The following is a 15,175-nucleotide window of genomic DNA, read 5'->3' as shown; positions in this document are numbered from 1 at the left end:
AATGACACCTCCTCCAAGAACGCAGTGAGAGCCTCGTGTCTCAGGGTATGAAAATGACACCTCCTCCAAGAATGCAGTGAGAGCCTCGTGTCTCAGGGCAGGAAAATGACACCTCCTCCAAGAATGCAGTGAGAGCCTCGTGTCTCAGGGCAGGAAAATGACACCTCCTCCGAGAACACAGTGAGAGCCTCGTGTCTCAGGGCAGGAAAATGACACCTCCTCCAAGAACGCAGTGAGAGCCTCGTGTCTCAGGGTATGAAAATGACACCTCCTCCAAGAATGCAGTGAGAGCCTCGTGTCTCAGGGCAGGAAAATGACACCTCCTCCAAGAATGCAGTGAGAGCCTCGTGTCTCAGGGCAGGAAAATGACACCTCCTCCAAGAACGCAGTGAGAGCCTCGTGTCTCAGGGTATGAAAATGACACCTCCTCCAAGAATGCAGTGAGAGCCTCGTGTCTCAGGGCAGGAAAATGACACCTCCTCCAAGAACGCAGTGAGAGCCTCGTGTCTCAGGGCAGGAAAATGACACCTCCTCCAAGAACGCAGTGAGAGCCTCGTGTCTCAGGGTATGAAAATGACACCTCCTCCAAGAATGCAGTGAGAGCCTCGTGTCTCAGGGTATGAAAATGACACCTCCTCCAAGAATGCAGTGAGAGCCTCGTGTCTCAGGGCAGGAAAATGACACCTCCTCCAAGAATGCAGTGAGAGCCTCGTGTCTCAGGGCAGGAAAATGACACCTCCTCCAAGAACGCAGTGAGAGCCTCGTGTCTCAGGGCAGGAAAATGACACCTCCTCCAAGAACGCAGTGAGAGCCTCGTGTCTCAGGGTATGAAAATGACACCTCCTCCAAGAATGCAGTGAGAGCCTCGTGTCTCAGGGTATGAAAATGACACCTCCTCCAAGAATGCAGTGAGAGCCTCGTGTCTCAGGGCAGGAAAATGACACCTCCTCCAAGAATGCAGTGAGAGCCTCGTGTCTCAGGGCAGGAAAATGACACCTCCTCCAAGAACGCAGTGAGAGCCTCACATCTCAGGGCCAGAAAGGTGGGCACAGAGGACGCATTCTTCTTCAGTTATTGAAAGAGTTTTAAAAAATAAATATGACCTTGAAGACTGTTTGTCAGTAACCATGACTCTTCCATCACTTAAATGTTCTGTGTTTTGATGCAGACGCAACATATAACTGAAGAAGGTGCTTTACAATGCTTTTGAAATGACTTCTTCGTTTGCCCTTTCATCTGAAACACAATAGCCTGACGTGACGTATTCTGGCATTAGTTACTAATGTGACTTTCAGGCAAAAGCAGAGAGATCCATGTCTATACTAGATTTTATCTGAGACACAAATGTAGGCTGCAGGTACATAAAAGGGGAAAGATGATAAATATAAAGTAACAGAGCTAAGGAAAAAGGTTGCCTCTATTAAAAACATAAAGCTGTCTTTTTAGAGAAGAATAATTATGAAGTACATGTGTGGTTACACACATACACATGTGCACATTCATGCACCACACCATTCCTGGGGAATGAATAAAATTCCTCAGCAAATGCATGAACATTTTTTAAACTCTCAGTGCAGTCATTGCCTTGATTGTAACTATAGTAATGCATCGTGCTTGGCAAACAAGTCCTCATCAGTCAGCACTTGATAAGGGTGACTACAGAGAAAGATGATTTCATTAATTGTATGAACTTTGTCCTTTCACAAAGGAGGATGGACTGGTAAAAATATTAGGGGGGCTGGTAAAATTCTTTACTAGTCACCCGAGATAAATCGTTAATTGCTCACAGCTAGGGAGAGGGTTGCTGTTGATAGAACAAGGTGCGGTTGAAGGAAACGCCGTTGGTGGGTGCACCTTGGCTGGCAGATGAGCACAGGCATGAATTCTTATCTTAGTGCAACTACATGAGTCATCTCCCAAAGGGTCATATTATTCATGGGCCATATTAATTATCTGTGGGTCTTTAAGCTAACTGATGGGAAGACCATGGAAACAGAATCACAGTGAAATCTCTTCTACTATGTTACTATTTTATTTTATTTTATTTTATTTTTATTTTTATTTTTATTTTTTTGAGACAGAGTCTCACTCTGTCACTCAGGCTAGAGTGCAGTGGTACAATCTCAGCTCACTGCAACTTCCGCCTACTGGGTTCAAGCCATTCTCCTGCCTCAGCCTCCTGAGTATCTGGGATTATAGGCACCCGCCACCATGCCCAGCTAATTTTGTATTTTTAGTAGAGACCGGGTTTCACCATGTTGGCCAGGCTGGTCTCGAACTCCTGACCTCAGGTGATCCACCCACCTTGGCCTCCCAAAGTGCTGGGATTACAGGCACGAGACACCACACCTGGCCCTAAATTACTATTCTTAAGTGTGAATGGCAAAAAGAGATATTTCACTCAGTTTATGCTTCAAGCCAAATCTGTAATCACGACGACACAAATTTCATAACAACATGTAAATCTTGGTCCTATTAATCCTGTCACTACGATTTCCAGTACCTGATTTCTCAAAAAACTAGTTACTATTACAGTAAACATGCATGTGTGCACGCATACACGTACACACACATGCACACGCATGCACACGCACACACGTGCGCACAAGCACACATACACACGTGCACACACATGCACACGCACACACGCACACACATGCACACACATGCGCACACGCGCACATACACACGTGCACACACATGCACATACGCACACACACACATGCGCACACGCACACCCACACATACGCATGTGCACACACATGCACAAACACACACACATTCAGGGAAGAGCCTCAAGAGATGCCCTGAATCCCTATTTGCCGAGTCCAGTACCAAGCTCGATGTGCACACCTGGAAGTTAATTCCATTCCTAGACACCAAGTGGACACTGGTGCATCCAACCAGACTGAGCTCTGGGGCTTTTCCGGGAGGTGGGTCTTACCATTACCATTTTAAAGATGAGATGCTGAAACCCAGATAGGTAAAATGCATTGATCAGGATCACACAGGGGGGGCCGAGAACCAGCCCAGGCCCCCCTTCTGTCCTTCCCAGGGACCAGGGAGGCTCCCAGCAGCAGCAACAATAACTTCGATGGGAAGAAAGGTTCCAGGGGGACTGATGGCATGCAGGAGGAGGAGTGAGCACACCTAATATCTCTCCAGCCACTGTGTTCCCTTGTGCAGAAAAGATGGTTCCTAGGGCAGGTAGTGTCCTAATGCACCTTCACGGTACATGACACCAACCACTCTCCCGTCTCCTCCCCATGCCTGACATGATCCCTCCTAAATAAGACAATGAGAAGGTTGCGGCTCTGCCTGCAGGTTCAGGGTGGAGACACAGCCGCTCTCCTGGTTCTCACTTTGGAGGCCCCATCTGTGAGCCTGAGAGAGCTTCTGCTGGTGCTGTTTACCATGAGATCGCTTCTGAAGCCAGTCCCTTGCCTGGTGGAGTATCACTGGGAGAGGGAGCATTCACAGGTGTGTGCCACGGGGCCTCTCCCACACTGTCAGCCTCAGAGATGCCCCAGAGGCCAGCAGCTCTGGAACTGAGTGTGCCTGTCAATCTGCGGGCCGCAGGAGGAGGTTGGAAATCACAACTCTGGGCTAAATCCTGGCCTCAGCCACTTAAGAGATTTTGAAAAATGAACTTCCTATGAGACAAGCAGCTCCAAGTTCACATGGCTATTCTAAGAATCAGCTTCTATGATGCATTAGAACACACGGTGCCTTGCCTGGTACCTCATAAGCATCATATGAGGTCAACATCAGACCCATGAGCAACTGGTGACGTCAACATCAGACCCATGAGCAACTAGTGACGTCAACATCAGACCCATGAGCAACTAGTGACGCCAACAGCAGACCCATGAGCAACTAGTGATGTCAACATCAGACCTCATTAGTTCAAGGAGGAGTTGATGTCATTTATATTTAGAAAACGAAGTAAGGCAAATACCCCTTCTTTCATGGCGAGAGCTCAAGGCCTGCGTGTACACGTGTTGGTGTGTGTTTCCAAACCACTCAGATAGGGTTTGCTTGTATTACTATTTTCTGTACTTAGGTTGAAAAGCTTCATTCTGATTACTTAACCACAGTGTGATTGAATATTGAAATCTGAGAATCAAATATGATTGAAATTAAAAGCTTTTATAATTATGAAAATTGGATAAATTTAGTTATGCATATTTTTGGTAAGTTAATTAATGTTTTTAAACAATACACTTTTACAGTCTACACTTATGAGGTGGTATTTGCTTTAATTTAGCATTAATCTCTTCAAATGACCAAAAATTAATAACTTACAAATCTAATTGGTGTCTTGATGTTTGTGTAATGTCATATTTGAAAAACAGAATAAACACGAAAAACTTAGAAATAAAAAAGGAAAATATAATTTGTATCGTTTTCCCATAGGGAATGCATTTTAGCATGATTTAAAGCAGAATCAAAAGATAATTATCTTTTGGCACTAATTTTAATATGTCCGATATAACAAAAATTATCATCCCTAAATAAAGCAAAGAAGTATTTCCACTGAGGGGCTCCATGAACTGCGGGATGTCCTGAACATCAAGGACTCTTCCTGGACATTGAACAGAACTGTTTTTAATGGGTTAGGGAGGAAGGCATTTTTCTCCCAAGCAGGAGGAATTTCACAGATGACAAAACTGGAGGCCTCTACGTTCTCTCCAGCTCACAAAAAAAAAACCTAACAGAACAATGAGAACACATGGACACAGGAAGGGGAATATCACACAGCGGGGCCTGTTGTGGGGTGGGGGGAGGGGGGAGGGATAGCATTAGGAGATATACCTAATGTTAAATGACGAGTTAATGGGTGCAGCACAACATGGCACATGTATACATATGTAACAAACATGCACGTTGTGCACATGTACCCTAAAACTTAAAGTATAATTTAAAAAAAAAAGATCCCAAGGCGCATTTTGGGGGCCTCAAACAGCCCTGGGCTTTTGGGAGAGCTTTGGAGGAGGCAGGAAACAGACGCCTCCAGCGCCCGCGTGGGATGTGAAATAAAGGAGATGAGGCATCAGTGCCCAGGGCCCGCACAGTCTGCGAGGCCACGAGGAACAGCTTCCCGCGTGGGGAGGTGCGGGGGCCGCAGGGTGGGCTGCTGGGGACCGAGGGTGCAGAGCCGGACTCCCCTTAAAAGCTAATCATCCCAAGGCTGCTCCCGCACCCCATGTGGGCAACAAGGACACTGGAGGAAAGGAGCCCGCAGCTTCCCCTGGTTCCCGAGTATGGGCGTGGGGAGAGTCCTGTGGGCAGCCCCACCCCAGCCGGGAGAGGCCACGGACGCCCTCGGAGCTGGGACCCCCACCTGAGTCCCTCCTTCCCTCCCGCACAGCCGCGGACCCCCGGGAACACTTCAGCTTCCCCGTGCGGGGAGGGGAAGGCCTGGACGTGGAGGGGGTCCCCTCAACAGTGAAGACGACGCCTCGGGCTGAGACCCGCATGGCCCGAGGCCCCAGGCCTGCCTGGACCCCGCCACGGCGAGGATGGTGTCGCTCAGAGGCCCTGACTTCAGCGTCCACCTCGTCCACGCAGTGCCCCCAGCGGTGTCTGGCCCCGACCCATCCAGCAGCCGCCCACCCTGCTGGTAAGGGACTGCCCGGTGCTGCCTCGGCCTTAGGAGGACCGCGCAGGAGACAAGGGCTCAGGGCCGAGAGGGGTCAACAGAAACAGGTGCTCAGGGCGTAGAGGATCAAGCTCGACGGTCCTCTACCCTTCCTCTAAAGCGAAGGTGTGTCCGGGCGGCCACTCCCCGCTGCAGGCTGCTGGGAGGTCTTTGCCCATCTGAATCCAATCTGGCCTGGGTGTGAAGGAATTTGGCCTGAGCTACAGATCCCAATTTGGTTCAAATCCCGCAAGAGGCATGATTTAGGTTCCACAGTGCATGCTATGAGTGGGACCTTGTAACATGCGGCCGTGGACGCCATACGTCCATCCCAAATCCCACGGGGAGCAGGGTGCTGGCAGAGGGAGAAGGAGCTCGCTGGGCTGGCTGAGCCAGCACCCAGCCTCTCTGTGTAGGCGACGGGAAGGTAAGGGCTTCCCTGCTTGGCCCCTGGTGGGAAGCTTGATGGTGGGAGCTGCGTGCTAACAGAGCTCTTCCGTCTTCCTCGTCACTCTGCTTCGCAACCAGCCAACCCCAGGACCCCAGGTCACAGGACCCCGGATATTTGACGGGTGGAGACAAGAGTGGGTGAATTTCTCCGCGCGTTGAACCGCTTTTGCAATATGTGCTTTTTTAAATCTCCAACATGAAATAGCCTTTAAGCACTTAGTCTCATCCCGGCTGGCTAATGATTGCAGGCCCGGTGGAGACATGTTACCGAAGAAGGAAAGTCCCGACTTGAGGGCGAGGCCGAGAGGAGCCGGGAGCTGGCCCCAGGGAAGCCCTGAGCTGCGCTTGCAGGCGAGCGCTGAGCGCTGTGCAGATGCTGGGACCAGTCAGGCCCACTTGGCGAAATCCACTTTCCCCCTTTATCAGGAACTGCTTCAGCTTTCATTTTCACTGATATCACAGTAAAAGGCCTTTCAAAAATGCCAGAGAGAACTCGTGCCCGAGGGAGCACACGCCCTGTGGTGAGAGGGGACCCAGCAGCAGATGCCCCCGGCATCTTGGGCAAAGTGAGACCCATTTCAGAACCAAATGAGGTCCCCAAAACACAGAATGTAGTTGGGCAGCCGACCTGACCATCTCCCCACGTGGCAAAGCCCTGTGGCAGCATGGCTCCATCAGGAATTGGGCACACGGTGTTAAGGAAAGCAACCAAATTCACCTTGCCAGTGGGCCACGAACACCAAATTGCCTTTAACTGCCAGCCACAAAGTCTGGCTGCCAGCTCCGAGGACTGTGTGTGGTCCCACGTCTGGCCTTGTGTCCTGATAATCAGGAAAGGTCTTCCAGGACACGCAGTCCCAGAACGGCCTGTGCAGGCCTGAGACGGGGGGCCTCCGTGCCCCTCCTCTCCACCCCCACCCCTTCCAGGGGCAGGCTGCCCAGGAGCCCAGGAGCCCAGGAGCCCAGCAGAATGCTTCTAACTTCCTAAGTGTAAAAAAGTTCCTGCAGAAGCTTAACAGAAGCTTCTTGAGCTCCTGCACCTATTTCTTCTTTCTTTCATGTTCTCTTCAGTGCTCTGTATAATAGTAGTAGGACACCCCAAGGTGTTAATTAATTGATGGAAATCGAGACAAGTTTTTCAGCATGACTTTAAGAAATCTGCATAGAGTAAGTATCACATGATGGGGCTTATCTGGTCCTCCTGTCTTGTGGGAGACTATGGCACCTGAAAACAACATGATGGCAGCCTCACTGTACGTGACAGATGCGGATACCTGGTGGGGAAGGGGCACCGTGCACAGCACACGCAGTTCAAAGGTGAGTTTTAACCGACTCGTCCCATGGAATAATCCTCCTACCAAAATGTGAAAAAAGCTGATACCTGGTGGGGAAGGGGCACCGTGCACATGCAGTTCAAACGCGAGTTTTAACCGACTCGTCCCATGGAATAATCTTCCTACCAAAACGTGAAAAACGCTGATACCTGGTGGGGAAGGGGCACCATGCACAGCACACGCAGTTCAAAAGCAAGTTTTAATCGACTCGTCCCATGGAATAATCCTCCTACCAAAATGTGAGACAGCTGGCCTTCCACATGTTCTCCATCTTCCCATTATTTCTGAGTGCTCTTTCCCATAGGTCACGTCACTATGGCAAATGGTGGCAAATGGCAACCGTGATACAGAAACCGTCCCGTGAGCCTGGATGCCTCCTCGCCCCAGAGATAGAGCCCTCCTTGGCTTTGACATGCCACGATCATATGCTTTTCTGTCTAGAGGGGATGTGTTTTATTATGAATGGGTCATGAAACCCTAAGCACCTTGGTGTTGGTAATTCATGAAGAGTGTTTGTTATTTTGTGAAGATGTTAGTAGCTGGCTCAAGTAAGAAAAGAAGTTGCAGTCTCCTCTTCAGTTTTAGATTGGTTTTAAAGGAAATCAGGCAGAAATCTAGAAAGTACTTAATATGCCAGTAGGGAAGAGTACTAATTCGATTTACATTTGTTTAAATCTTACATAATTAAAAGACTGTATCTTACAAAATGTCTTATCTGATAAAATCTTGTAACTAGTTTATGTATCTTCTATGAAAAGAGTAATAAAACAAAGATGATTTGAGACAGTAAAAGAAGTAACACAATTTTATATTGATGGGAAAAACTGAGTAATGCACTTTTAAGTAACAGGCAACTTCAGATTTTACTCGTTTATTTAATGTATATGATTCACATGATGAAAGTGATGATTTTCTTACTAAATGAGCCAAGAGAATGTTTGACTTATATATTTATTAAATTTAAATCAATATAAGTCTAATAGGCAACCTCTAGGGGTGCCTAGATTCTCTCTTTTCCAGTTATGTATTAATTTGGTTATTTTGTTTGTTTCATTCAGCTTGTTTTAAAAAGAGTAATGATGCTACAGTAGGGCCCGTGGAACATATGCTGGTACAAATCTTTATTCATTTAATGCATATTTATTGTGTAGCTACTATGTGCAAATTTTCAAGTGCCGTCACTCACCTCCTGCAGAGCATCTCGGAGGACAGTGAGGGGCCACCCTCGGTGGGCTCTCTGCTGGGGCCTGGAGTGAGCAACAGGCTGGTGGGGGGGTGGGGGGGTCTTTGCCAATCTAAATCCAGTCTGGCCTGGGTATGAAGGAATTCTGCCTGACTTACAGATCCCAATTTGGTTCAAACCCCACAGGAGGCATGATTTTATTGTGTAGCTACCATGTGCAAATTTTCAGAGAAGTATTTTATTTTCCTTTGTAAAAATAGTCCCTTTTAAAAGACTACTATCATTATATGCTCCAAAGCATATGTGACCACATCTTGCTAGTGTGCACATGGGCATTTGGATGCATGGCAACCATATTCTATGTCTGCGGGAACAAAAGTCACATTATTTTCATACAAATTCATGGGGAAAAATACTACTTTTATCTGATATAAAGAAACATCAGAGAAACAAAAAGCAATGCATTTTCAGTTTGGCCTTTTTAATAAAAAAACAGGAAAAGGTACTGACAAGCTAGATAAATTTTTTTAAATACCCAAATTATTATCAAAAATTACTTACATTTTCTCAAATAAATGTGTCTATGTCTACCGAAGATGATTACAAGTAAAAGTATATTTTAAAAATTAAAATTAAGTATAAATGACACTCTTCTGATATTTGAAATTTCAATAAGAGTGGTCATTATATATATCCTATGATTGTCATTTCATTGTTAAAACTTAATAAATTAAATATTATTTTTAATGTCCTAAAATACCAACTAGGTGTTTCTTCAGCCCCTCAGAAAGAACATGTAGCTAGAAAACTGGTATTAAACACAAACATAGTCCAGTAGCTTCATGCCCCGTGTCTGTAAATCAACTCAATGCCATCTTTTCGTGCTCCACTCATCTCGGCTGACTTAAACCAAATTATAGTGTAAGGTAACTTCTGTAAACTGGAATTTCCTAAAACATTATTTTCAGTCCCACTAAATACCAAAAGCCTGCTCAGTTTTTACTGGTTAATTATAATGGCAGGTCATTTGAAGTCTTGGAAATCTGCAAGTGGCAAGTGAGAGGTGAGACACAGAAATGCTCTTCTTCCACAGGTTTACATGGAGCTTAATCTGCTGAAGCCTGAAATGGTTACATTGGCTTAAAAAAATGTACATTTATATTTCTTAGCCTGGCATGGTGGCTCACGCCCATAATCTCAGCACTTTGGGAGGCTGAGGCAGGCAGATCACTTGAGGTCAGGAGTTTGAGACAAGCCTGGCTAACATGGTGAAACCCTGTCTCTACTAGAAATACAAAAATTAGCTGGGTGTGGTGGTGGGTGCCTGTAGTCCCAGCTACTCAGGAGGCTGAGGCAGGAGAATCGCTTGAACCTGGGAGGCGGAGGTTACAGTGAGCCAAGATTGTGCTGCTGCTCGCCAGCCTGGGTGACAGAGCAAGACTTTCTCTCAAAATAAATAAATAAATAAATAAATAAATAAATAAATAAATAAATAAAATAAAGTATATTTCCAGTAAAATCATTTACAAGAATGTCAAATTAAGTTTAGGTGCTAACATATTTATTCTTCAATGGTTTTCAAGATCTACCAATGTATTAGTCCATTTTCATCCTGCTATAAAGAACTCCCCAAGACTGGGCAATTTATAAACGAAAGAGGTTTAATGGACTCACGGTTCAGCATTGCTGGGGAGGCCTCAGGAAACTTACCATCATGGCAGAAGGTGAAGGGAAGCAAGGCACCTTCATCACAAGCCAGCAGGAAGGAGAAGTGCCCAGCGAAGGGGTTAGAGCCCAGTATAAAACCACCAGATCTCGTGAGAACTCACTCAGTATCATGAGAACAGCATGGGGGGAACCGCCCTCATGATTCAATTATCTCCACCTGGTCTCTCCATTGACATGTGCAGATTATGGGGATTACAATTCTAAATAAGATTTGGGTGGGGACACAACGCCCAACCATATCAACCAGTAAACCTGAAACATACAGTGTTTTAATTAATCTCTCATATACAAATTTGTATGAAACAGAAATAAATCAAAATAACTTTTTTAAATGGGGTGACAAAATTGAACAAAACCCAGTGTCAAAAGTTCATGAGACATGTAAAGAGATTAATATCTCCATATAATAGGAAAAACTCATCTATAACAAGCATTTCTGAGAAAAATGTTATAAATAGGTATTAAATGTTTCTGCCATGTGTGCCTGTAGACGGTGGGGGGCCCTTGGGGTTTGCCCTTCCTCATCTCCGCCCAGAAGGGTAAAGTAACAAGAAGATGCCACACAGCTAAGACTCCGGGGCTGGAGGCAGTGATTTCAGAGCATCATGGGGCAGAGATCACACATTGGACCTGTGCCAGCTCATCTGGCATTGCACCGCGCTAGCTTTGCAGGTGGAAATCAGTGGACGGGCCTACCATAGACTCGCCATGGGGTTCTGAGGTGGCTGCTGGCTTAAGGGGACTCAGGCACTTCCCTCAAGGGTCCTTTTCAGGTTGGGTGTGTAAGAGCTGGGTGAAGGGGGAATCGAACCACTCTTAGTCTCCTGAACTTTAATATACCTTTTGATTTTTTTTGTAAGCAGAAGAATATATGGATGCATAACCACAGATAAAGTTTTAATGCATAAGCAGCCTCTGTGAATGTTTGCAATTTTTTCACCCAAAGCTGATCGCAGAAAATTCAAGCTGTTACTAACTCCGTATTTCCTCAGCAGCTGAACTACTTTAAACCTACAGAGCTACTTCCCTTCAGTAAGAATCTGTGAAATTCTTATTTGAAAAGGCAATGAGAAACACACAAGCAATCAACTGAGAGCCTAAATGAAAATTACAGAACAAACCCGCTTCCATGAAAACAGTCAAAATCATTAACCAAAGATGAAGCAACCCATTACTGGTCTTCAAAATGTCAAAATAGTCAGCTTTAAAAGGTGAAAGTTCTCTCAAACACTGCTTTATAGCAAACAAAATGCACACAATTTGGAGGATTTTAAACTAAATTAGCAAAGTGTTTTAACATCTCTGAAATTAGGTCAAAAGCAAATTTATAATTATTTACTTATTAACTAAAGCTATAGTTTGACATCCACAGAGAAATCTGTTAAAGAATTTAGAAAATTTAATTTTAAAATGCCGAATTTAAAAATATATGCCGGTGATCAAATAATAAGAATTATTTTCATGACTGAGTAACCAAGTGAGAATATTTACAGCTGACCCCTGAACAACAGAGTTTTGATGTCATGGGTCCACTGTTACAAGGATTTATCCTTTGCCTCTGTCACAGCAAGGCCAGCCCCTCCTCCTCTTCCTCCTCCTCAGCCCACTCAACGTGAAGACGATGAGGAGAACGAAGACCTTTATGATGATCCACTTCCATGTAATCAATAATAAATATATTTTCTATTCCTTATGATTTTTAATAAATTTTCTTTTCTCTATTTTTGTAAGAATACAGTATATAATACATATAACATACAAACTATGTGTTAACTAACTGTATTATGGGTAAGGCTGCCAGTCTACAAGAGGTTATTATTTTGGGGGGAGTTGAAAGTTATCCTCAGATGTTTGTGCCAGGTCTGCACCCCTCACCCCCATGTTGTTCAAGGGTCAACTGTACAATACACTTAACTCCAAAAAAAAACCCCATCATTTTCTAGATCTATTAAATCACTCCTTACAAAGTGACATCAGGCAGCATCTTACCTGAATTCTTATTGGTTTTGTTCTGCCGACTTTTAACCTGTTCAGTCCAAAGGGTAGGGTAACGTGATGCAATATCTATGAACCAAAATGAAATGACAAGCATCTTTAATTCATCACGAAAGCACAATGTTCCTTAGTTACGCAGTGCAGCAAGTAGTCCAACAGCCAAAATAAATCAACATAACACACATTGTACATTTGTAAAGAAATAGTTACACTGATTATATGCCTCAGACGAAAGGAAATCATAATATACATTTAAAATATTTTTGGCATTCTTCTCTCTATCCAAAAGTATAGTTAAAAGCTCTTTGGGTCTAGACAGAATTCACTTTGAAAGAATCAGATTTTAGAAAAATACCCAGTGTACAAAAATATATTCTTGTGTAGTTAAAATGGCTATTCACATAACATACAACGTTTTCACTCAGTTGAAAGATTCATTATAAAATGCAATATGTGAAGTATAACTTTTGCCTGAAACTTTTCAGGAACACCCCTTTTGTAGTAATCTTGTTTAACAAATAAAATTGAATGGGCCGGGCATGGTGGCTCACACCTGTTAATCCCAGCGCTTTGGGAGGCCAAGGCAGGTGAATCACCTGAGGTCGGGTGTTCAAGACCAGCCTGGCCAACATGGTGAAACCCTGTCTCTACTAATAATACAAAAAAAAAAAAAATAGCCAGGGGTGGTGGCAAGTGCCTGTAGTCCCAGCTACTCCTGAGGCTGAGGCAGGAGAATCGCTTGAGCCCAGGAGACGGAGGTTGCAGTGAGCTGAGATCGCATCATTGTACTCCAGAAGCCTGGGCAACAAAAGCAAAACTCTGTCTCACAAAAAAAAAAAAAAAAAAGGAATGTAGTGCAGGTCACCGTTAGTGCTTGAGAGCACAGACCCTGAAGAAGACATCTGGGTTTGAATGCCAGTTGCCATTTACACCCAGATGGACTTGGGTCAATTGCCACAGGGCTCTCATCTGCGGAAGGGCATTCAGAAGGTCCAGGGACTCATGGCAGCAGATCACACATTGTGTAGCGCTTAGGACCACGCAGCATCAGTCATTATTATTATTTGCAAAGCATAATGCAGTTCTACATTTTAAGGTTTTGTTAATTTATACTGTGTACTCCTTACACTTTGCCCTTAAACCCCGGTTCCCTTTGACCTGATAATTTTTATACACTGGTAAATACCTAAGACAATGTATTAAAGGTAAAAACAGGAAATCTCTCCTTGTTATGACCACTTGTAAAGACGTGAAATGTAAACAGGGAAAATGGCCATACATTTTATATTATCCAAGCTGTAAAATTTCAACTTAGAAATGTGTATTTAACGAAACCCTCATGAGAATGCACCATGGCAATATCTGAAAATCCCTCGCTCCAAAGACATCAGGAAAAACAGTGGGTGCCCTCATAAGGCTGGACACGGCCACACACAATCCGTTTCTGCTTGAGTTTGCTCTTTTATCCCTGTCTAACATCATGATGTTTAGATACACATTTACCCAGTGAAATTATTTCTACAGCCAAGCAATTCACATCCCCAGCATCTCACAGTTACTTCAGGGGCGTGTGGCTAGGAAATGTTTACTATGCCATCCGTTGCCGTTTCATCATTAAGTATATTCCTCATGCTATGTGCTGGATGTGTGGTATGCCATCCATTGTCATTTCATCACTAACTAGATTCCTCGTGCTGTACGCCGGATGTGTGGACTTGTCCATCCCACGTAACTGCAGCTTCGCAGCCTCTGGCCTCATCCCTCTGTTTCCTCCATCCTACCCTACCCTTCGTGACCACCTTTCGGCTTGCTGTTTTCCTCTCCTCACTATTGGAGTTTTGTTTGTTTGTTTTTTTTAAAGAGATTCCACATATAAGTAAGATCACGTGGTCTTTTCTGTCTGTGTCTGGCATGTTACACTCCATACTGAACGGAGCTCTAACAAGATGACTCGCTCCACTTCCCAGCTCCATACCGTCCCTCGCACTCCTCCCCAACCCAGACTGTGCAATCCCCACCCCGGCTCACCTTCTTCATCTCCTTGAGGCTGAGTCTCCAACGCTGGAGCTGCGGCATCATCTGAATTCAGAACGGAAAAGATTTGCAAGGAGACTACAATTATGAGAGTAAGTTAAGTAAGTGTGCATACGGGTGGATGCTGAGGACTTGCACTCAGTCCCCACAGATCAACCACAACAGCAACCCCACACAGACCCAACGCGATGCTGCCTGCAGCTGCGGCTGGAATGACTATACCAGTCTTGAGTGAGCCGCTACTTAAAATGCTCGAGGCTAGACACTGACCTAACTTCACGTGGAAAATATCCGATCAGTTCTAAACTATCAGAGCCAATCACAGGCCATAGGGCAGATGAGGAAGGAATCAAAATAATTAGAGTAAAGAAAGTCTAGCCCTGGGAAAGAGAAGTCATAAATTCAGGCCACTGGAGGTTACAAAAGAGGGCTTGGCAGGGACTGGGGTGGGGTTGAGCAGAGCCCTGTGCCCTTAACACATCCTCTGTTTTCCCCAAGAGAAAGGCAAGGGTTGGAGAATCCTGGACCCCTTTCTACACCTCTGGCCCTCCCTCTCTCCACTGCTGCCATGGCATAATCTAAGTAAGGATGTGAGTGGGGCACGGGGTGGAGGGGACAGGGCGAAAGTGATCGGAGAATGGAGGAAAGGGCGGACTGGGGTGTCACAGGCCCCTACACCACCCATAGACTCGCATTTTCCAAGTGAAGAATCTGTATTTAATTAATTGACACACACACATTGGGCCCCCTGGTAAAGAAAGAGGTTTTAAATGGCTCAGAGACCTGGCAGGATGGTGGAGCCTGTGAGTC

General features: G+C 45.2%; 1 protein-coding gene across 4 annotated transcripts in view; it reads right to left on the bottom strand.

Moving 5' to 3' along the window:
• Window positions 1-15,175, bottom strand: part of SMOC2 (SPARC related modular calcium binding 2) — a 226,809-nt gene that overhangs the window by 106,464 nt on the left and 105,170 nt on the right. For 2 of the 4 annotated variants that reach the window (NM_022138.3, XM_011536065.2), the window contains exons 6-7: window positions 14,360-14,443; window positions 12,326-12,400 (exon numbers count right to left, since the gene is read on the bottom strand). In NM_022138.3, the coding sequence (NP_071421.1) occupies window positions 12,326-12,400; window positions 14,360-14,443 (159 nt within the window). The remainder of the gene's footprint in view (window positions 1-12,325; window positions 12,401-14,359; window positions 14,444-15,175) is intronic. The other 2 variants (XM_011536066.2, NM_001166412.2) reach the window with 1 other exon arrangement.

The sequence above is a fragment of the Homo sapiens genome, chromosome 6 (genome assembly GCF_000001405.40).
Source record: "Homo sapiens chromosome 6, GRCh38.p14 Primary Assembly".
NCBI classification, from domain to species: Eukaryota; Metazoa; Chordata; class Mammalia; order Primates; family Hominidae; genus Homo; species Homo sapiens.
The sequence above is the reverse complement of the archived record's forward strand: the minus strand, read 5'-3'. Positions and strand labels throughout refer to the sequence as shown.